The 22,422-nt window shown below is 40.5% G+C and overlaps 1 protein-coding gene across 15 annotated transcripts in view; it reads left to right on the top strand.

The window, feature by feature from the left end:
• The window catches only part of FRMD4B (FERM domain containing 4B), a 373,805-nt gene that overhangs the window by 314,258 nt on the left and 37,125 nt on the right, over positions 1 to 22,422 (top strand). For all 15 annotated transcript variants that reach the window (XM_017005993.2, XM_047447767.1, XM_047447771.1 and 12 more), the window contains 4 exons: positions 3,639 to 3,722; positions 6,406 to 6,471; positions 9,950 to 10,007; positions 11,980 to 12,066. In XM_017005993.2, coding sequence (XP_016861482.1) covers positions 3,639 to 3,722; positions 6,406 to 6,471; positions 9,950 to 10,007; positions 11,980 to 12,066 — 295 coding nt within the window. The remainder of the gene's footprint in view (positions 1 to 3,638; positions 3,723 to 6,405; positions 6,472 to 9,949; positions 10,008 to 11,979; positions 12,067 to 22,422) is intronic.

Here is a 22,422-nt window from a genome sequence, read left to right as displayed (position 1 = left end):
ATGTCTAATATTCAGAGTGACATAAGAGAAAAATTCTGTAAGTCTAAAAGATATGCTTTGTAGAGTATTAGTGTAGAATTTTCAGGATTCTTATCATTGAAGGCAGGGTTTCTCAATCTCAGCACTATTGACATTTTGGGCAGGATCATCCTTTGTTGTTGAGGGCTGTTCTGTGCATTATAGGAACTACCCAGTAGAAGCCAGTAACACCTCCTTCCTCAGTTGTGACTATCAAAAATGCTTTCAAACATTGCTAAACGTCCCCTGAGGGGCAAAATTGCCCACGTTGAGAACCACTAATCTAAAGTATATTTCTTTCTTCGTTTTTCTTAATAAACATTTTTTGGAGCAGTTTTAGATTTACAGAAGAACTGAATGAAAAGTACAGAGAGTTCCTTTATACCCCCTTTCCCCACCCCCACTGTTTCCCCTATTATTAACATCTTGCATTAGTGTGGTACATTTGTTGCAAAAGTCTATAGTCAAATTAGGGTTCACTCTTTGTGTTGTACAGTTCTACAGGTTTTGTCAAATGCATAATGTCATATATCCACCATTACAGTATCATACAGAATAGTTTCAGTGCCCTAAAAATCTTCTGTGCTCCATCTTTTTAAGAATACTTTTTTCTTTCTTTCTTTCTTTTTCTTTTCTTTTTTTTTTTTTGAGACAAAGTCTCACTCTTGTCCCCCAGGCTGGAGTGCAATGGCGCGATCTCGGCTCACTGCAACTTCCGCCTCCTGGGTTCAAGTGATTCTCCTGCCTCAGCCTCCTGAGTAGCTGGGATTACAGGTGTCTGCCACCACAGCAGGCTAATTTTTGTATTTTTAGTAGAGACGGGGTTTCACATGTTGGTCAGGCTGGTCTTGAACTCCTGACCTCAGGTGATCCCCCTGCCTTGGCCTCCCAAAGCGCTGGGATTATAGGCTAAGCCACTGCACCCGGTTAAGAATACTTTTTTTCAAGGTATTCTAAACTCTCCTTAAAATGATCCTAATCCACTTCCCTATTAACGCACATTTTAGTTGCTTCTCAGTGATTGATCAGTACTCAAAAAAAGGTCTTAATGAATGAATATTCATCATTATCTCAGATACTGGCTCATGATTAACCTGTAGTAATTTATTGATTTATTCAGCCAGAATTTCTAAACAAATAACATCTTATAACTGGAGTAGATTCTGATTGTGTATAGTTCAAATTACTCTTGAAAATCGCTGGGAAAATGATATGCTGAAGACTAAACTTCATCTTTCAATAAATCCAACACAGGTGGTATTTTTCTCCAGTTGAAACACACAGCTATTTCTTTAGGCACTAGATATAAAGATTGCTTGAGTTTAGCAGACATGTATTAAATGCCTGAATGCTGGAAAAATCTCAGTGTCGTGAGATACTTGTGCTTTGAGGGACATAGGACTAAGGACAACAGCTTCAAGTCACCCGTTTTGTACTTACTCTCAACCATGAGCTTATTGAATGGAATGACAGATAAAATTTCTCCCTCACTTCTTTCCCTATTCTCCTTTCCCTTTTGGCTGACTGCATTTGTATGAGTTAAAAACAGTTCCATCATATGACACTCGTTCTACATATTTTTGTTAACTGAATAAATAAATTTATGATAAATAGCAACTTCTGATCTAGTGAGGTCTCCATTGCCACAGAATTAACTGTAATCCAAGTAAGTGAATGCTAGGCTGGGTTCTTGAAACATAGCCTATGGTTCACCTGGATCCAGAAATAACAACATGCATGTGGTCGATGGGGATGATTTCATAACACGATGTTGTCCTGAATTTATCATTTTTGAATACATGCATGCATTTGCCCTTCATTAAAAAAACTCACAATTTAGAAGTAAAGGTATCTGACAGTTTTAGGTTTGGAAAAAAAAAAAAAAGTAAATGTGGTATGCCAGACAGAACATAAGAGAGATTATTAAGAAAAATAAATATACTGGGAGTTGACAGTTGACCTTTAATATGAATGAATTGGATTGTGGTATATTTTGATTTTCAGGAAGCACAAACCAGTTTCCCAAGATTGTCAGTGTGGTTAAGCCATAACTCTCAGATTTCAAATGAATAGAGAGATTTATTCTTATGTAAGAACAGGAGCCAAGTGACTTTTTATTTCCTGTAGTAATTTGGAAAGCTAGATCTTTCACCTGTAGGAAAGGCCACAACCCTGGCTTTGAAATGTAATAGCAACAAGGAATGGTTCAGTGTTTGGCCCTCCAGCTGGGGGGCTCGTCTACTTAAATAGATAATAATAGTATCTACTGCATGGGAATGCTTGTGGTGAACCTTACATGAGGTAAATAATGCCCAAGAAGTGTGTTGCATGGTATCTGGCACTTGGGAGCCTTTCATCGAAGGGTAGCTAGTGGTAAAGATAGGAAGAAGTGGAAGGTAGGAAGAGTTAGCATTATGCTGTTTGATGAACACCAGTTTCATCAGAATTTTGAGTAGCTACCCTCTAATAGGCTTTAGATAATCATGTTCATTTCCTCATAGATTATGTCCTTAAATACTCAGTAGTTAGAGTATTTTCTCTCATAACCAACTATGACTGGGTAGTATTACGTGTTCTCCCTCTTTTTTTTTTTTTTTTTTTTTTTTTTTTTTTTTTGAGACGGAGTCTTGCTCTGTCGCCAAGGCTGGAGTGCAGTGGCGTGATCTCGGCTCACTGCAAGCTGCGCTTCCCAGGTTCATGCCATTCTCCAGCCTCAGCCTCCCAAGTAGCTGGGACTATAGGCACCCACCACCAAACCTGGCTAATTTTTTTTTTTTTTTTTTTTTTTTTTGTATTTTTAGTAGATACAGGGTTTCACCGTGTTAGCCAGGATGGTCTCAATCTCCTGACCTTGTGATCTGCCCGCCTTGGCCTCCCAAAGTGCTGGGATTACAGGCGTAAGCCACTGTGTCCGGCCTGTTCTCCCTTTTTTAAAGTTCTGTAAAGACCACAACTTTCTCTTGACAACTAGAATTTTGCCATTTTATAATTAGATAATAGCTAACCTTACATGAGGTACATTTTAGTTCACTTAATGTGACTTAAGAGATACCTTGGGTTTCATTAGAAACACGTTTTCCAGTCATCTTCTATTCAAGAGATTTCTACAGGTGGTTGAGTTGGTCTGCTATATTTCAGAGGGTTGTAAGGAAGTAACAGAAGAGTAATATAAAAGACTACATAAACCTTTTCATTGCAATGATATCTATTACGAAAAATTGTTGATGTTATGTGAATGGTTTCATGATAACCAGTATTCCACCATGATGAATATTATGTAGCCACTAAAGATGATTAGTAAGATACTGTAGGAACATAGAGAAAGTGGATAATGAAATGTGAAGAATATTCTGTAAAAATACAATGTGAAAAATGTACAATTATAATCATAGTTACGTGTAAAATAGACATGTGCAGAAAATATTATAAACTTCAACATCTCATCATATAACTCAGTTGTTAAATTTGGGGGCTGCTTCTAGTTAGAGTCCATAACCATGTGTATGTTGGCTCCAACATGCTGTAAATAGTTATTTTTTTAATCTAATTCATTTGGTGACCGGCTTGCATAATTTTTTGGATAACAGTACCTGACATTACCATATTCCATTTCTTTTTAGTGATGAAAATGCCAGGAAAGATTTAAAGACATTACCAGCCTTTCCAACCAAAACTCTTCAGGAGCATCCATCCCTTGCCTACTGGTAAGCCAAATCCACATAACAGGTGTCTCATTTTCATAGCCTCCATTCAGAACTACATGCTTTTCAGGGCATTAAAAGAAATATAAGTGGGAAAAATATCACATTGCCAATCAATTGTATAAAGTAACCATAGGTAGACCTTGATCCTTTCAGTGAAAGGATCTACTCAAAGCTTACTGGAGATCATTGTACCAAGATGTGTCTTGCAGTCATTTGCAAAGAGCAGCTGGCTGATGTTTCTTTCAAGTGTGTAAAATGTCTGTAGAGTATGCTCCTAGGTGAATATATAATATTCAATATATGTGCAGTCACTGTGTAATGCAGCTTTAATCTAGCAGAATGCAATATAAGTGTTATAAAATACAGATTTCCTTGGATCAGAGATTTTCATAATGACCAGAGGTTTCTACTACAGCTAGATATTGTATATATTGAGTTGGTTTAGTTGTTTGTACATTAGTGAATCCATAGTATCCATTTTCATCCCATATTTTTTTTCTAAATTACGTTTTCCCTTAAAATACTTACATTCTTGTTAAATATATTCTCCTTGGTTTCAGTCTGAATCCTCAAGATGGTTTTTCTTTCCACTAAAATGTTACAAAATAAAGATTACAAAATAGATATTCAATATTGAGACATTTAGTATGAAGTTGGAAGTATATTCCCAAATATATAGTGAAAGTAAGTACTGAGGCTACATAGCATCTTGACTCTGGAAACTTCTAGCCATGTCATTTTCAAGTGATAGTTTTTTGTTTGTTTGTTTTGTTTTTTTGAGACAGAGTCTTGCTCTGTCGCCTAGGCTGGAGTGCAGTAGCATGAACTCAGCTCACTGCAACCTGGTTCAAGTGATTCTTGTGCCTCAGCTTCCCGAGTAGCAAGGATTACAGGCACCCTCCACTAGGCTCGGCTAATTTTTGTATTTTTAGTAGAGTCGGGGTTTCACCATGTTGATCAGGCTGGTCTCAAACTCCTGCCCTCAGGCAATCTACCCGCCTTGACCTCCCAAAATGCTGGGATTACAGGTGTGAGCCACCGGGCCCGACCAAGCGCGATAGTTTTATCTATTTTTATTTTATTTTATTTTTTGAGACGGAGTCTCCCCCTGTCACCCAGGCTGGAATATAATGGCACAATCTCCGCTCACTGCAACCTCTGCTTCCTAGGTTCAAGCAATTCTCCTGCTTCAGTATCCCAAATAGCTGGGATTACAGGCACACGGTACGATGCCCAGCTAATGTTTTGTATCTTCAGTAGAGAAGGTGTTTCACCATGTTGGCCAGGCTGGTCTCGAACTCCTGACCTCGTGATCCGCCTGCCTCGGCCTCCCAAAGTGCTGAGATTACAGACGTGAGCCACTGCACCCAGCCTTGATAGTTTTTTAATTAAAAAAAAAGACATTACTAATGAGAACTAGTCATATGGAGATAGAAATACTTCATCTTCTAGGTTATACTTGAGATTTCCTTTCCAGTCAACAAGTTTTACTCTAGGGCAATAAAAGGGTTTTCTCCTAAAGCAACATGTCTGTAAATGGTGATAGTAGAGTATTTTAGATTGCACACAGACTCAGAAGCAGTTTAAATTCTTGTAAAATCTTTCTGAATCATTCAATGAGAAAGTCTTTAATGCCTAACACTTGCTGATCTCCCTGTTTTAACCAAAGAGAGGATAGGCCTTAGGCTCAAAATTTCTTCAATAATGTTCTACAGCTAACATTTGATATCATTATTTTATGTGTATTATATTCCATCCAATTATGGCAAAAGATCATTTCCCATTGGAGAAATTGATATTGTTTCCTTTTCTAGTAAATTAAGTTTTTTGTTTTTGTGATGGAGTTTTGCTCTTGTTGCCCAGGCTGGAGTGCAATGGCGCAAGCTCGGCTCACTGCAGCCTCCACCTCCTGGGTTCAAGTGATACTCGTGCCTCAGCCTCCTAAGTAGCTGGGATTACAGGCATGCGCCACCACAACCAGCTAATTTTGTATTTTTAGTAGAGACGACATTTCACCATGTTGGCCAGGCTGGCCTCAAACTCCTGACCTCAGGTGATCTGCCTGCCTCAACTTCCCAAAGTGCTGGGAATACAGGTATGAGCCACTGCGCTTTAAGTCTTTTTTTTTTTTTTTTTTTTGAGATGGATTTTCACTCTTGTCACCTAGAATGGAGTGCAATGGCTCAATCTCGGCTCACTGCTATCTCCACCTCCCAGGTTCAAGCAGTTCTCCTGCCTCAGCCTCCCGAGGAGCTGGGACTACAGGCACATGCCACAACACTCAGCTAATTTTTTGTATTTTTAGTAGAGATGGGGTTTCACTGTGTTAGCCAGAATGGTCTCAATCTCCTGACCTCATGATCCCCTCAGCCTCCTAAAGTGCTGGGATTACAGGCGTGAGCCACCACGCCTGGCTGTGCACTTTAAGTTTTAAAGGTAGTAATATATATATTATATAAATATGCTACATAAAACATAAGTTAAAGATGATAATGGAGGCAGTCAAATGTCTGAAGTTCAGGAATCCATCTCCTACAGAAACAAAAGCCAAACTCTATCTACCAAACAAGTTGGTGAAGGCTTTCTCTCTCAAGTTTCCTGACAGCCACCTGATAATGTGGAAACTGTGCCTGTACCTCAGATAATCATGCATTGCAATCCTTCTCATTTCTTTGTTTTACAGTGAGGACAGGGTAATTGAGCATTATTTGAAAATCAAAGGTCTCACTCGAGGTCAAGCTGTGGTTCAGTAAGTATCTTTCCTTTTGCTTAGATATAATTTTAATATCTCTCATCTGAAGGTATCACTTGAAATGATTTCTGTTGTGTAGTTTTTGTGAACATAGTCCTTATCTGGTTAGAAATATCTTACTGTGAATTAGAAAATGTCTTCGGTCATTCTATACATTGGTGTCACCAACTCAGATACCTACCAGTGTCAGGCAAGTAAAAAAATGAGAAATGTAGACCAGATGTAGGGCAATAGAGAATGGTGGGGACTGTGGTAAACAGGTGAGCTTTCATCCTGAGTAGAGGCAAGGTTACTCAGCTTTAGAATTCAGGCATAATGTTGCCAGATCCTTTGTTTTCCAGGAGAAGCTGGAAATTCAGATTTTTAAATCTTATCTCATTGGGAAGTAATTTAAAGAAAATTTAATGCAATGTTAGCCAAATAAAACCTATCTAGAAGCCATGTTTTGTCCCCCAGTTTGTGATTCGAATTTGAGTCGAGTGTATAGTATATTGGTGTTAGATAGTCTGTTTCTTCATGCTACTAACAACAAGCCATTGTAATGTATTTCTACATTTTGTGACTTATAGAGTTACCACCCATTATTAAGAACAGGCCAGCACAGTGGCTCATGCCTGTAATCCCAGCATTTTGGTAGGCTGAGGAGGGCGGATCATTTGAGATCAGAGGTTCGATGCCAGCCTGGCCAACATGGTGAAACCCCATCTCCACTAAAAATACAAAAATTAGCCAGGCATGTTGGCAACCACCTGTAATCCCAGCTACTCGAGAAGCTGAGGCAGGAAAATTGCTTAAACCAGGGAGGCGGATGTTGCAGTGAGCCGTGATTGCACCATTGCACTCCAGCCAGGTGACAATAAAGAAACTCTGTCTCAAAAAAAAAAAAAAGTTGCTACACTAAACTTTTAAAATTATTTCTATGCCCGTGAAAACTGAAATAAGGGCTTGGAGATTGTAGATTTTCCTCACACTCCTACTTCTTTGCTCTAATCTCTCTTTTTGAGACAGAGTCTTGCTCTGTCACCCAGGCTGGAGTGCCGTGATGCAATCTCATCTCACTGCAATTGCCACCTCCTGGGTTCAAGCGATTTTCGTGCCTCAGGCTCCTGAGTAGCTGGGATGATACAGGCGCATGCCACCATGCCCAGCTAATTTATGTAGTTTTAGTAGAGACAGGGTTTCCCCATGTTGGCCTGGCTGATCTCAAACTCTTGACCTCAAATGATCTGCCCAACTCGGCCTCCCAAAATGCTGGGATTATAGACATGGGCCACTGTGCCTAGCCTCTAATCTTGTTTTTATCAAAACACACCTTCTGTTATCTTTGCAGCAGAAATCAGAAGTTAGCATCTTGAAATTGGATCCTTGACATTTTAATTCATTGTGCCTGTTTTCTGAACTGAAAAGTAAAAAGAAGTAGTGACAATTTCCATTAAGGGTATTAAGGTAAACTAGTGAGTACAGTCATGTACCATTTCTGTACACATATACAATGGTGGGCCCATAGGATTATAATGCCATATTGTTACTGTATCTTTTCTATGCTTAGATACTCAAATACTTACCATTGTATTATAATTGCCTACAGTATTTCAGCCCAGTAACATGCTGTACAGGTTGGTAGCCTAGGAGCAATAGGCCATACCATACAGCCTAACTGTGTAGTAGGCTCTACCATCCAGGTTCGTGTAAGTGCACTCTATGATGTGTGCACAAGGACAGAATCACCTAACAACACAATTCTCAGAATGTATCTTCATTGTTAAGCAATGTGTGACTGTATATTACAAAGTTCCCATGCTTAAGACATGGAATCAACCCAAATGCCCATCAATGATAGACTGGATAAGAAAATATGGTATATACACACCATGGAATACTATGTAGCCATACAAAGGAATGAGATCATGTCCTTTGCAGGGACATGTATGAAGCTGGAAGCCATTATCCTCAGCAAACTAATGCAGGAACAGAAAACCAAATACCACTTGTTCTCACTTATCAGTAGGAGCTGAACAATGAGAACACATGGAGACAGGGAGGAGAACAACACTTACTGGCCTGTCAGGAGAGGGCTGGGGTGGGAGAGAGCATTAGGGAAAAGTGCTAATGGATGCTGGCCCTAATCTCTAGGTGATGGTTTGTTAGGTACAGCAAATCACTATGGCATACATTTAGCTATGTAACAAACCTGCACATCCTGCACATGTGCCCTGGAAACTAAAAAACAATTAAAAAAAAAAAAGTACCCATGCTTAAATGCAGAGTCTTATTCTTTCTCCTGATCATTATTGTGTGGCTTCATCTAAGAGACGGTTTCATTTGGTAGTTAAGGCTCTAGGATGTGGAGTCTGACTCATTTTGTTAGAATTCTGGCTGTGCAGTTTAGTTGCTGCATGACCTTGACACATTTAACCTCTTATATTCATTTGCATGCGGGCCATTTACTTTTAAAAAATATGTCAAATTATTCATTACACTTCCTGGAGAAATTGATCATCAAAATGTCATTAAAAAGTCTACTTGCGTTAAAACAGGAGCCTCAGTTCCTTGCGGGCAGAGAGGAAGCGTTACAAAATTTAGTCCACCCCAAAGCCTTAAAGGTGTACAATAAACACTACTGAATTAAAAATAGCAAGTAGTGGCATCGTTGCTTTAATTTTTATTTTGGGGGGACTTTTTTTTTTTTTTTGACAGATTCTCACTCTGTCACCCAGGCTGGAGTGCAATAGTGCAATCTCGGCTCACTGCAACCTCCACCTCCCGAATTCAAGCAATTCTCCTGCCTCAGCCTCCCATATAGCTGGGATTACAGGTGTCCGCCACCACACCCAGCTAATTTTTTTGTATTTTTAGTAGAGATGGGGTTTCAGCATGTTGGCCAGGCTGGTCTTGAACTCCTGACCTCAGGTGATTCACCCGCCTCGGCCTCCCAAAGTGCTGGGATTACAGGCGTGAGCCACCGCGCCCAGCCTGGGGGGACATATTTTTTAAGTCAGGTTTACATACCATAATTCATAGTTTTAAAGTATATATTTCTAGGAGTTTTGACAGATGTTTCTAGTTATTTAACCTCTACCACAAGCAATATATGGCATAGCTTTATTGTTTAACTTATGAGTATGACCCAAAAGTTGGTGCCCATAGCTTGCATCATTAGGGGCTTACTTTAAAAAATACTTGCAAATGGAGTTTATAATATGGTACATTCCTAATCCATAAACATTTGAATGTGTGGAAAGTAACATTTTCTATAGCTTTATGAAATTGAGGTTCTATTAGCATTTTCCTGACATTTGGATAAGCTAAAATATATTACTCCCCAAAATGGTTTATTCTGTTTCTACTTGAGTGAAACATATTAATTATTCTTATAATAAGGAAAGTAGAAACGTGGTGTTTCTTTAAATCACTTTTCCCAAAAGGGTCCTCTAACTATTTTAATAAGATTGTGATACATATTTATTTTCCATAGGTATATGAAAATAGTAGAAGCTCTACCGACTTACGGTGTCCATTATTATGCAGTAAAGGTAAGTAATTTTACATGACAAAGCTTTCGTGATGATTGAGAGTTATTGCACAATACCAGCTTTTTTCATACTATATAAAAGGCTGATTATATCTTGCCTTTTGTAGCAAATTATAAAGTACATTATTTTTGCAAAATACTTGCTACGTTAAAATGTTTTTCCAAGACCTCTCTTCATCCTAAAATGTTCAGATCATTCTCTTTCGAAACACCTCTGCTTGCTGATTGGTCTTTTTTCCAGTTGGTCACCTTTCTAGCACTACCAGATCTTCATTTGAGAGTGCTTTTGTTTGAAAATTATGCAGTCTCCAGCGTTATTTCAACAGCTTCATAAAATTCTGAAATTTTTACAGGATTTGCAATACCATGTTTTAATCAGTGTATTACATACACTGTATTTTCAGATGTTTTATAAGCAGGGAGAGATTGACAAATATTTTGAGATGATGAAAAGTATTTTCAGATGTTTATAAGCAGGGAGAGATTGACATATTTTGAGATGATGAGATGAAAGTGTTAAGGATATCTTGTTTGGAAGAGAAATAATTTTATAATTGATCAGTTCTTGATTGACTTTTCATGTTATGATAATGTTCATATCTCTATACAATTCAAAATGATGGGGAATTAGAAAATTTACATAATGAGAATACCTGTGCTAAAAATCGGTACCAATTTAACTTTTTTTGTTGTTTGTTTTTGAGATGGAGTCTAGCTCTATTGCCCAGTCTGGAGTGCAGTGGCGTGATCTCAGCTCACTGCAACCTCTGCCTCCCGGGTTTGATCAATTCTCCTGCCTCAGCCCACAGAGTAGCTGGGATTACAGGCATGCACCACCACAGCTGGCTCATTTTTTGTATTTTTAGTGGAGATGGGGTTTCACCATGTTGGCCAGGCTGGTCTTGAACTCCTGACCTCAGGTGATCCACCTGCCTCAGGCTCCCAAAGTGCTGGGATTACAGGCATGAACCACCACGCCTGGCCTCCAATTTAACTTTAATTTCTACTGACTCTGGTGTGCATATAGGTATCTGTCTAAGCCTAAATTTTCCTTTTCCTGTGTCAGTATATTCTTTGCTTTGGCAAAACATAAAAGATAAATTTATGAAAACAATATTACTCACCTCCCCGTATGTACCTCAAACCAATTATTCAAACATCCTGTCATTGAATTGTACAGTTCTCCAAAAGGGTTTTCGATATTCCCGTGTTCATTGTTAATTGTTTTATAAACATCAGGAATTGGAACCACTTTTCTCATCTTTGTAATTCTTTGGAAACGTCCCCAACCTTTTATAACTGGTTACTAATTAAGAGGCAAAGAGCTTTTTTTTTTTTAATGGATAACTGGCTTTTTACTGGATTAATTCTTAGTTGAATTACTTACATTTTATTTATTTTCTCCAACTGTTTAATCAAAACAGTAATGCTTTACTCTTTTTGATGGTATTAACAGTCCTGGACTATTTCAACTTAAAGATTTTATTTGAAGAAACTCCAAGTAGGTGTTTTAATAACAAGTTAGGTTTTTAAATGTTTTGTTTATCAAGACAGCTTTATTTTGACTTGCTGATACTTGTTAAGAGGTGAAATTGCCAGGTGTGGTGGCTCACACCTATAATCCCAGCACTTTGGGAGGCTGAGGTGGGTGGATCATGAGGTCAGGAGATCAAGACCATCCTAGCCAACATAGTGAAACCCCGTCTCTACTAAAATACAAAAAAATTAGCCAGGCATGGTGGTGCACACCTGTAATCCCAGCTGCTAGGGAGGCTGAGGCAGGGGAATTGCTCAAACCCAGAGGCAGAGATTGCAGTGAGCCGAGATCATGCCACTGCACTCCAGCCTGGTGACAGAATGAGACTCCGTCTCAAAAAAAAAAAAAAAAAAAAAGAGGTGAAATTGGTAAATTTTATTCACTTCTAGAAGAGTTAACAGCTAGGTCTTGGTTCTCATGCTTTTTCATCTTCTAGGATAAGCAAGGACTTCCTTGGTGGCTTGGAATAAGCTATAAGGGAATTGGCCAATATGATATACAAGACAAGGTGAAGCCTCGGAAGGTAAGTGTGGATCACTTTAGGAGAACTTTGAACTGTTCAAAACATGTTAATCACAACATAGTTGAAAAGCACACACCATTAGGTTGTTGGGGTTTTTTTGGTTTTTTTTGAGATGGAGTCTCACTTTGTCGCCCAAGCTGGAGTGCAGTGGGCTGATAGTGGCTCACTGCAACCTCCACCTCCTGGGTTCAAGCGAGTCTCCTGCCTCAGCCTCCCAAGTAGCTGGGATTACAGGCACACGCCACCACACCCGGCTAATTTTTGTACTTTTAGTAGAGACGGGGTTTTGCCATGTTGGCCAGGCTGGTCTCAAACTTCTGACCTCAAGTGATCTGCCCACCTTGGCCTCCCGAAATGCTGGGATTATAGGCGTGAGCCACAAGCACACACCATTAGGTTTCTATTTTATGTTAGTATGAACAGGATGATGCCATTTATTTTATAAATTTTATATGTACATTTATGCATATACATATTTGAATTGGATGGTAGACATATAAATGAATAATAAAGACATGACCCAAAAGTTTTGGTGCTAGTGATCTCTCAATGATGCAGGTATAAGTCTTCTTTCTTCTGCTGCTATTATCTCTGTTTCACCATTTTCTGCAGTGAACATGTCTGCTTTTTGTAGAGAAAAATCAGTTGTGTGCTATTTATGAAAGGGTCACAGGCCAGGCATGGTGACTCCTGTCTGTAATCCCAGCACTTTGGGAGGCCAAGGTGGGTGGATCAGAAGGTCAGGAATTTGAGACCAGCCTGGCCAACAAGGTGTAACCCCGTCTCTACTAAAAATACAAAAATTAGCCACGTGTAGTGGCAGGCATCTGTAATCCTAGCTACTCGGGAGGCTGAGGCACGAGCATTGCTTGAATCTGGGAGGCAGAGGTTGCAGTGAGACAAGATTGTGCCACCGCACTCCAGCCTGGGCAACAGAGAGAGACTCCATCTCAAAAAAAAAAAAAAAAAAAAAAAAAAGAGGGTCACAATCTATCAGATTTGGATTTCCAGGGTTAAATAACTAACATTAATGTCCATTTAAAATTTTACTATGAAGCTGTTTTTTTAAAAAAATTCATTATTAGCTGGGTGCGGTAGCTCACACCTGTAATCCCAGCACTTTGGGAGGCTGAGTCGGGTGGGTTGCCTGAGCTCAGGAGTTTGAGATCAGCCAAGGCAACAAGGTGAAACCCCGTCTCTACTAAAATACAAAAAATGAGCTGGGCATAGCGGCATGCGCGTATAGTCCCAGCTCCTCGGGAGGCTGAGGCAGGAAAATTGCTTGAACCTGGGAGGCAGAGGTTGCAGTGAGCCGAGATCACGCCACTGCACTTCAGCCTGGGCGACAGGGTGAGACTTCATCTCAAAAAAAAAAAAAATTCATTATTATTATTATTTTTTGAGATGGAGTCTCGCTGTGTTCCCTTGGCTGGAGTGCAGTGGCCTGATCACAGGTCACTGCAGCCTCGATTTCCCTGGCTCAAGCAATCCTTCCACCTCAGCCTCCCAAGTAGCTTGGACTACAGACACATGCTACCATGCCCAGATCATTTTTAGAAAGTTTTTTGCAGAGACAAAGTCTGACTATTTTTCCCAGACTGGTCTTGAACTCCTGGGCTCAAGCGATCTTCCCACCTTAGCCTCCCAAAGTGCTGGGATTACAGGCACGAGCCACTGTGCTCAGCTGAATCTGCTTCTCTTGATCCAAGCTCAAGTGTACAACACGTTTTTGCCCATATTAGAGTTGAAGAATCCATATAGATCACCATGCAGCTGCTCTTGGCTTCCTTTGGTATGACAGTGACATCAAGACTGACTCATGCTGCCCTGGTTGGTTTTGCCACTCTCCCTGTGCCATCCTGCCATCACTGAAAGCACAGGAGTAAAACAATGGCCTCTAATAACAGACCATGGTCAGCTACCTGCATTATCACAACCTGACATCACAGCCTTAAATAACTCCTGTAATTTCCATCTGTCTCTTGCTTTCATGTGTGTTAGAAAAACAGCCAATCTCTTTATAAAACAGCCCTATAATCATACGTACTCTTCATCTTCTAAGTGTCCATGCAGCTTGAATCATTGCACACAGTCTTCTATGAGTTATGAAAATAAATAAAACCCCCTCTTTTCCCCATTTTATGGTTGTGAAACTGACACAGATAACACAAAAGGGTAGATTAGGGAAAGCCATATCCCCTCTGCCACCCACCTCCAATACTGATCCAGCTTTCCTGGATCAGGCTAGTAGGGCGTTGAGGCTTCTTACTAGAAATTATTGATAAGGCCGAGGGTGGTGGCTCATGCCTGTAATCCCAGTGCTTTTGGAGGTCAAGATGGGAGGACTACTTAAGGCCAGGAGTTCAAGACCAGCCTGAGCAATGTGACAAGACCCCATCTCTACAAAAAAAAAGAAAAAGAAAACTTAACAAATTAGCCAGGCATGGTGGCAAATGCCTGTAGTCCCAGTTATACAGGAGGCTGAGGTAGAAGGATCACTTGAGCCTGGGAGGTTGAGGCTGCAATGAACTATGATCATGCCACTGCACTCCGGCCTGGGTGACAGAGCAAAACCTTGTGTCAGAAAAAAAAAAAAAAAAATCAATGAAAACAACAGCGCATCATTCAACAAGCAGTAGAGGACAATGAGAGAGCATGTTTGTAATCATACTGTTAACATTTTTATTCTATAAGCTCTGTGACCAAGATCAATTTAAGGAATACTTAATTAATTTCCAGGAGGAGTATAAGTACTATTGTTCCTGCTTATATTTCAAAATTGACTTCTAAAACCTAATTTCTAATCAATAATATTAGAAATGAAGGATACCCAATTTTTTCAAATATTTTTTAAAATCAATTTTATTTATTGTTAGCTTTTTTTTTTTTTTTTACCCAGAGTAAGAAATACTCATGAGGGCAAGGAAGAAAAAATGGCAGCAAACACTACAAAAAAATGCTTTAGGGGAAGAAGTCTTCTGCAATCCCCATTTTTCCTCCATGACAACCAGCAACTGTTAAAAAAATGGTACCAGTTCATTTAGATTTTGTCAGTGTATATTCTAAGCATTTACAAAGACAGAGAAATCTAATATATACAGTGTTTCATACCTTGCCATATTTCTCTAGCTCACTTATAAACCGATTTCTTTTCACTTTTTTAAAGCTGCCTAGTGCTTCATGATGTGGAAATACATAATTTATTTAACCACTTCACTTTTGATGGACATCATACTTGTTTCCATTTGTAGGAGTGGAGAGAGTTTGCAGAGCATAATAAAAAAACCCAGTCAAACAAATACCTTACCCTAGTTTATCTATTTTGCAAGACCAAAATGCTGTCTATCATGTTTTCTTAAGGTAGACCTCACTTGTATTGAGATTTTTTTGCTAACTTATTTCTCTTCTGAATTTTACTTAAGAAATAACACTCAGGAGTCTTACTGGTTTTTCTGAATCTTCCATGTAAAATATTAGGACAACTCACAAGTAATTTATTAGCTAATGTGGCTTGATAAGATTGAGCTTCCAGCAGAATGTAAATGCATCTGCTAACAGCAACCAGGCTTTGTCCCAAAACAGTAGTGAATCAGAATCTGCACAGTAAATATTGCAGTTAATTTCCTCTCCTGTACTTATGACTCACAGGCCTTTCTTTACGTTCACAGTTTCATAGAAATTGGCAAATACTTCTTGACACTGATCATAATCAGTTTTGCTTGTTCATTCCAGAGTCTAGAAAAGGGTCAGAAGCTACTTCCTTTTTTGGATTTGCAGGGTTTTTTTATTTCAGTTCCAAAACATGCCACTCCATTTTTAAAAAGACCCTACACAGTCCATCTTTTGTTATCGCTTTTTTTCTTTTTTTTCTTTTTTTTTTTCTTTTTTTTTTTTTTTTTTTTTGAGACGGGGTTTCGCTCTGTTGCCCAGGCTGGAGTGCAATGGCACGATCTTGGCTCACTGCAACCTCCACCTCCTGGGTTCAAGTGATTCTCCTACCTCAGCCTCCCGAGAAGCTGGGATTACAGGTGCCTGCCACCATGCCTGGCTAATTTTTGTATTTTTAGTAGAGACAGGTTTTCACCATGCTGGCCAAGCTGGTCTCGAACTCCTGACCTCAGGCAATCCACCTGCCTCGGGCCTCCCAAAGTGCTGGGAATACAGGCGTGAGCCACCATGCCCGGCCCATGTTATCACTTTCTTGCCTTCTCTTTCTCCGTTTTTTTTTTTGGGGGGTGTCTACTCTGTGCCATTGTTTATTTCTTCCTTTCTTCTTTTGTTAAAATCTGACAATGGATTTTGCTTCCATATATTTATTTTTTATGTCCAGACAATGTAAGGATTGAGGCTGTTTTACAAGTCCCTCTCCTGGCCTAGTTTGCACAAATGAAAGAATGCATAATTTAAAGGACCATGAGCACAGCCTTCTATTAAAGGAGGATCATGCTTCAGCTGTTTGTGTGGACCTGTGCAGGCTGCAAGTTTACCAATGGACCAGCAGGAATGAAGGTCAAATTGGCAAACTGTAATGAAACAAAGGCTATAATGAGAGGCCTTAAGGTGCTCAGCCTCTTGAGCCACATCCCGTCTTGTTACAATTATGTGGCTTAAAAGCAGGCCAGAAGAAGGGAAATTTACTGAGAATAAGTACTAAGAATAAGAAAACTGATGCCGAAAGGCTGTTTTGAAAAGGAGTTGTTCCAAGATCTCCCAGCAGTGACCTTCAGACCTTTCTGTATCAGTTATCACCTGTGAATGTTAAGGGCAGGGAGGTATTTGTTTGACCTCCCAGGGCATCCAGCAGATGCTCTTCAAGTCTTTTATTTATATGGCTTTTTTTTGCCAGTCTGGGGTGCCAACAAGTTGTTTTCAACCAGTGTGTAGTGTAGTACAGTGATGCAGGGAAAGAGTTTGGGAGACATCCCAACCTCTGCCCCTGGTGTCTATTTACTGTGCCACCTTGAGCATGTTGTTTAATCTCTCTTTAAAAGTGGTTTTCTCATCTGCACAAGGGTATTGCCACCAACTGTGTAGGGTGGTTGTAAGACCTAGAGGACAAATTTAGCACCATAGCTGATACGCCATCATCATTAGTAGTAGTGAGAAGACAGACAATAAAAGAGTATGGGAAATATTCTTGGATCACTGGTTAGAGAGGGACACAACATTGCTACAAGCCCACAGCTTTAGTGTACTAAGAATCCACTCTCAAATTTTCTTTCTTTTTTTTTTTTTTTTTCGAGATGGCATTTCACTCACTCTTGTTGCCCCGGGTGGAGTGCAATGGCACGAGCTCAGCTCAGCTCACTGCAACCCCTGCTTCCCGGGTTCAAGGAATTCTCCTGCCTCAGCCTCCCAAGTAGCTGGGATTACAGGCATGCGCCACCATGCCTGGCTAATTTTGTATTTTTAGCAGAGATGGAGTTTCACCATGTTGGTCAGGCTGGTCTCGAACTCCTGACCTCAGGTGATCCACCTGCCTGAGCCTCCCAAAGTTCTGGGAATAGAGATGTGTGCCACTACACCCGGCCTCCACCCTCAAATTTTCTGTTTTCGGAGATGTGTGAGCACTTCTTTCACCTCCTAATTCATTAAGCATCATGCCTGAAGGTGTGACGCAAATTAAAGGAAAAATTTTTAATCCAAAATTACAAACCACAAACATTCAGGGTATTAAAAATTAAGACAATAAGCAGCTTTACTTTTTAATCCTCCCTTTGTGTATGAATATGTCATTGCAAACTCTTAGAGAATGTGAAAACGTACCAGAACTCAACTGAATTCCAAATGGTAAGACATTTGGACTTAGAGACTGATGAAGTTTCACTTAAAGAAAAAAAAAAAAGCAGCCTTGTGTTCCTTCTAAGTATTTATTGTTCAGTATTTCAAGGAAAAATGTCTGTTCTTCATAAAGAAGCAGACAGTGGGTCAGAGACTGAGCCAAGTATTAGTCTATGTCATGACAGATTTGTATCCCTTCGGCAAATACTTCCCCTGGAAAACCAGAGCCTGTCAGATGGCAGAGATAAAATGACATACTGTCGAGGTGTCCATAGTGGGACAAAATGCTTCTCAAGATAAGTATCTTTTTGCCTTATATCATGCCAAGAAAGACTTGAGGTGAACTTCATCACCACAGGGCATGTGAAGGTGGGAAAAGTCTCTTAGCTTTCTGTTTCTGTCTCTATATATATTGGAATTCCCAAATCCCTAAAGCCAAATGAATTAAGTAACAAGCACAAAAGTCTTCCTGTTTTCTTCTCATACAACTACAAGGTTATTTTATTTAAAGACAGTGACTTGGTTATTTCTTTAAGCACAGCTATCTTGAGCATTTCTAAGCTCTTCTTTCCACCATGACCATACCACCTTGGACCTAGATTAGAAGCTACTTCTGACACTGCTGAAATTCTAGATGAGATTAACTGTAGGAGAAGAGAACATGGGTTGTTCTCTTTCTACATTAATGCCAAATAAAGCATGGTATGGAAGAAAATAATTGGATTTTAGAATGTCAACCAGAGACTGGTCCATCCTGTTTATAAAGTGTGTATCTAAGCTTTAACCACACCAGTAATCAATCTGATTGTTAAAACCTTCTGCAGAGTCAGTGGGAGGAGAACTCCCATCCTACAGCATGGATTTGAAATAAGAACCAGTTCTGCATTTCCACTTACCAGCTGGCTGACTCAGAGCTGTCACTCAACTTTCTGGGCCTTCATTTTTTTCAGCTATCAAATTGAGATAACTCTTGTCTGCTGTCCACCTCACAGATCATTGTGAGGACCCAATGAGTTAGTGAGTTATTTCACTGAGTGGGTTATTTTCCCCTCCACACCATACTTTAATTTATAGAAAGTGTATTGTACAGCATGGTCTTTCTCTTCCCCTCCCATAGTTGATCGCAATTAGAATTTTAAGCAGTTCTCGTAAAACATGGAACTTTTAGAAAATTGGTTAGGTATTGGTGAAGAAGATGGAAAGAGGGAGGCCTAGGCAGGCTCCTCTGTCATTTGGAAAGTACCAACTCTGAGTGCAAGGGCAGCTGGGTGGTATTGTCTCTAGGTGGGTGGCCCTGGGCAAAGCTTTAACTCAAGATGTTCTTTTTTTTTTTTTTTTGAGATGGATTCTCGCTCTGTTGCCCAGGCTGGAGTGCAGTGGCGTGATCTTGGCTCACTGCAACCTCCACCTCCCAGGTTCGAGCCATTCTTCTGCCTCACCCTCCTGAGTAGCTGGGACTACAGGCGCACGCCACCACGCCCAGCTAATTTTTGTATTTGTAGTAGAGATGGGGTTTCACCACGTTGGCCAGGCTGGCCTCGAACCCCTGACCTCCTGATCCGCCTGCCTCAGCCTCCCAAAGTGCTGGGATTACAGGTGTGAGCCACCGCGCCTGGCATAACTCAAGATGTTCTATTACTAAAAATAAGGAAAAATAGATCCTAGGGGAGATCAGTAGTTTCTGTCACACTGTATTTGTTTCCTTTGAAGTCTTTGGAGGGATGGTTGGTGAGAAACAAGTAAGCAAAGAAATAAAGACATAAATTTGTAATTATCTTTGATGGAAACAAATGAGATGGGGGACAGTAATGGGATGCAGGGAGGGGACATTTGGTGTGTTCAGGGAAAGCCTCTCTGAGGAAGGTGATGTTTAACCTGAGACCCGAAGGGCAGAAAGCTCATAAAGAACAGTATGGCTTGTTCTCATCAAAGAACAGGGTATGCCGATGGGAAGGAGATAGGCATGTTAGAAACCCAGGAGAAGGCTGGTTGCAGTGGCTCAGCCTATAATCCCAGCACTTTGGGAAGCCGACGTAGGCGGATCACTTGAGGTCTGGAGTACCAGACCAGCCTGGCCAACATGGTGAAACCCTATCTCTACTAAAAATACAAAAATTAGGCCAGGCGTGGTGGCTCATGCCTATAATCCCAGCACTTTGGGAGGCCGAGGTGGGTAGATCACCTGAGGTGAGGAGTTGGAAACCAGCCTGGCCAACATGGTGAAACCCCGTCTCTACTAAAATACAAAAAATTAGCCGGGTGTGGTGGTGGGTGCCTGTAATCTCAGCTACTCAGGAGGCTGAGGCAGGAGAATTGCTTGAACCCGGGAGGTGGAGGTTGCAGTGAGCCAGGATCACACCATTGCACTCTAGCCTGGGTGACAGAGTGAGACTCTGTCTAAAAAAATAAATAAAATAAAAATAAAAATACAAAAATTAGCCAGACATGGTGGCGGGTGCCCATAATCCCAGCTACTTGGGAGGCTGAGGCAAGAGAATTGCTTGAACCCAGGAAGCGGAAGTTACAGTGAGCCAAGATGGCGCCACTGCACACCACTGTAGCTGGAGCTTACGGAGTTCCGTGTAGAAATGGAAGATGCTGCTAGAAGAAAAGGAAGTGGCTGCCAGACAGGCAGAACCATCAGATGTCCATTGTTTTTTCTTTTTTTTTTTTTTGAGACGGAGTCTCACTCTGTCACCAGGCTGGAGTGCATTGGCCCGATCTTGGCTCACAGCAACCTCTGCTTCCCAAGTTCAAGTGATTCTCCTGCCTCAGCCTCCCGAGTAGCTGGGAGTATAGGCATGTCCCACCACGCCCAGCTAATTTTTGTATTTTTAGTAGAGACGGGGTTTCACCATGTTGGCCAAGATGGTTTCGATCTCTTGACCTCGTGATCCACCCGCCTCGGCCTCCCAAAGTGCTGGGATTACAGGCATGAGCCACGGTGCCTGACTGTCCATTGTTTTTTCTATTCCTTTACATGTCTAAGCATTTACCACATGGTTGAACTGTTGGCACATGAAGAAAAATGAAAGATAGCTCATAAATAGGATTGACTAGTCTGAATGCAGAGAAAAGCAATTAGTACATAAAGCACTGTAAAAAATAGTTCTATGAAGAGGCATAAACAGTAAAGATTTATTTTCTTTCTTTCTTTCTTTTTTTTTTTTTTTTAAAGACATAGGTTCTAACTCTGTTGCCCAGGCTGGAGTGCAGAGTCATAATGATAGTTCACTGCAGCCTCAAACTCCTCAGTTCAAGCAATCCTCCCACCTTAGCCTCTCAAGTAGCTAGGACTATAGGCATGTGCCATTGTGTCCCACTAATTTTTTAAATTCTGTTATGGAGACAGGGTCTCACTATGTTGCCCAAGCTGGTCTTGAACTCATGGCCTCAAGTGATCCTCCCACCTCAGCCTCCCAAAGTGCTGGGATTATAAGCGTGAGCCATTGTGCTTGTCCAAAGTTTCTTTATTATATACTTGTGACCAATGATTGGCTGGTTTGGGACTTTTTTTTGGTAGCAAGGCTTCACTGATAAGCTAAAGTTGTTAAATTCATCTATCTTTACATTTCTAACCATAGAGTGCCATGTACCTGATTTTATGCTCCCCTCCACCAAAAAAAAATGTATTAAGCCCAATGCATTTACAGGGGCCCTAAATGAGTGCTTTATATTCTTTGTCTCATTTAAGGAAAAAGCCACAATCCCTGCCATCAAGTACCTGCCAATATATCTGGAAAGAAAGAATGTATTCAAAATTAGGTATTTTATTGGAAATATTTAAAAACCAGACTAGGTACAAAACCACAAGAAGGGATACCAGTTGTAAATATCCATAATAGTTATACAGGTGCCCAGAGCAGTAGCTCAGCCCTGGTGGCATCAAATACATCAGTGAGCACGCTAACGAGAGTCTTAACAGGATGTCATTACATCAGCTCTGGAAGGTTAGAGATTCGGCCACAGAGGAAACTTGGGTGTGATGACATCCTTTTAGGTGTTCTCGTTTTTACGTTATACATTTCCCAATACCCAGAACTTCTTTGTCTAAACTTTTCTGAAAATACTCAAGAGTTTTACTCCTTGCATTTAAGATATGGGTTTTTGTTTTGTTTTGTTTTGTTTTTTTGAGATGGAGTGTCACTCTGTCGCCCAGGCTGGAGTGCAGTGGCACGATCTCAGCTCACTGCAACATCTGCCTCCTGTGTTCAAGCAATTTTCCTGCCTCAGCCTCCCGAGTAGCTGGGACTACAGGTGCATGTCACCACGCCTGGCTAATTTTTGTATTTTTAGCAGAGATGGGGTTTTACCATTGGTCAGGCTGGTCTCGAACTCCTGACTTTAGACAATCCACCCACCCCGGCCTCCCAAAGTACTGGAATTACAGGAGTGAGCCACCACACCTGGCCAAGATATGGTGTTTTATTTGTAAGGTTGAGATCATATTTGAAACATTCACTACCACAGCGTATACCATTTGGGTACTTTTATGAGATTTTAGTTCAGCACAGCTGACTCTTCTAGTCTGGTCAATTGTAAGCCCCTCTAGTGGGTAGCATTTGCATATGTAAA

Source organism: Homo sapiens, chromosome 3, assembly GCF_000001405.40.
Source record: "Homo sapiens chromosome 3, GRCh38.p14 Primary Assembly".
In the NCBI taxonomy this organism is placed as follows: Eukaryota; Metazoa; Chordata; class Mammalia; order Primates; family Hominidae; genus Homo; species Homo sapiens.
Note: the sequence above shows the minus strand (reverse complement) of the source record. Positions and strands in the feature narration are given on the sequence as shown.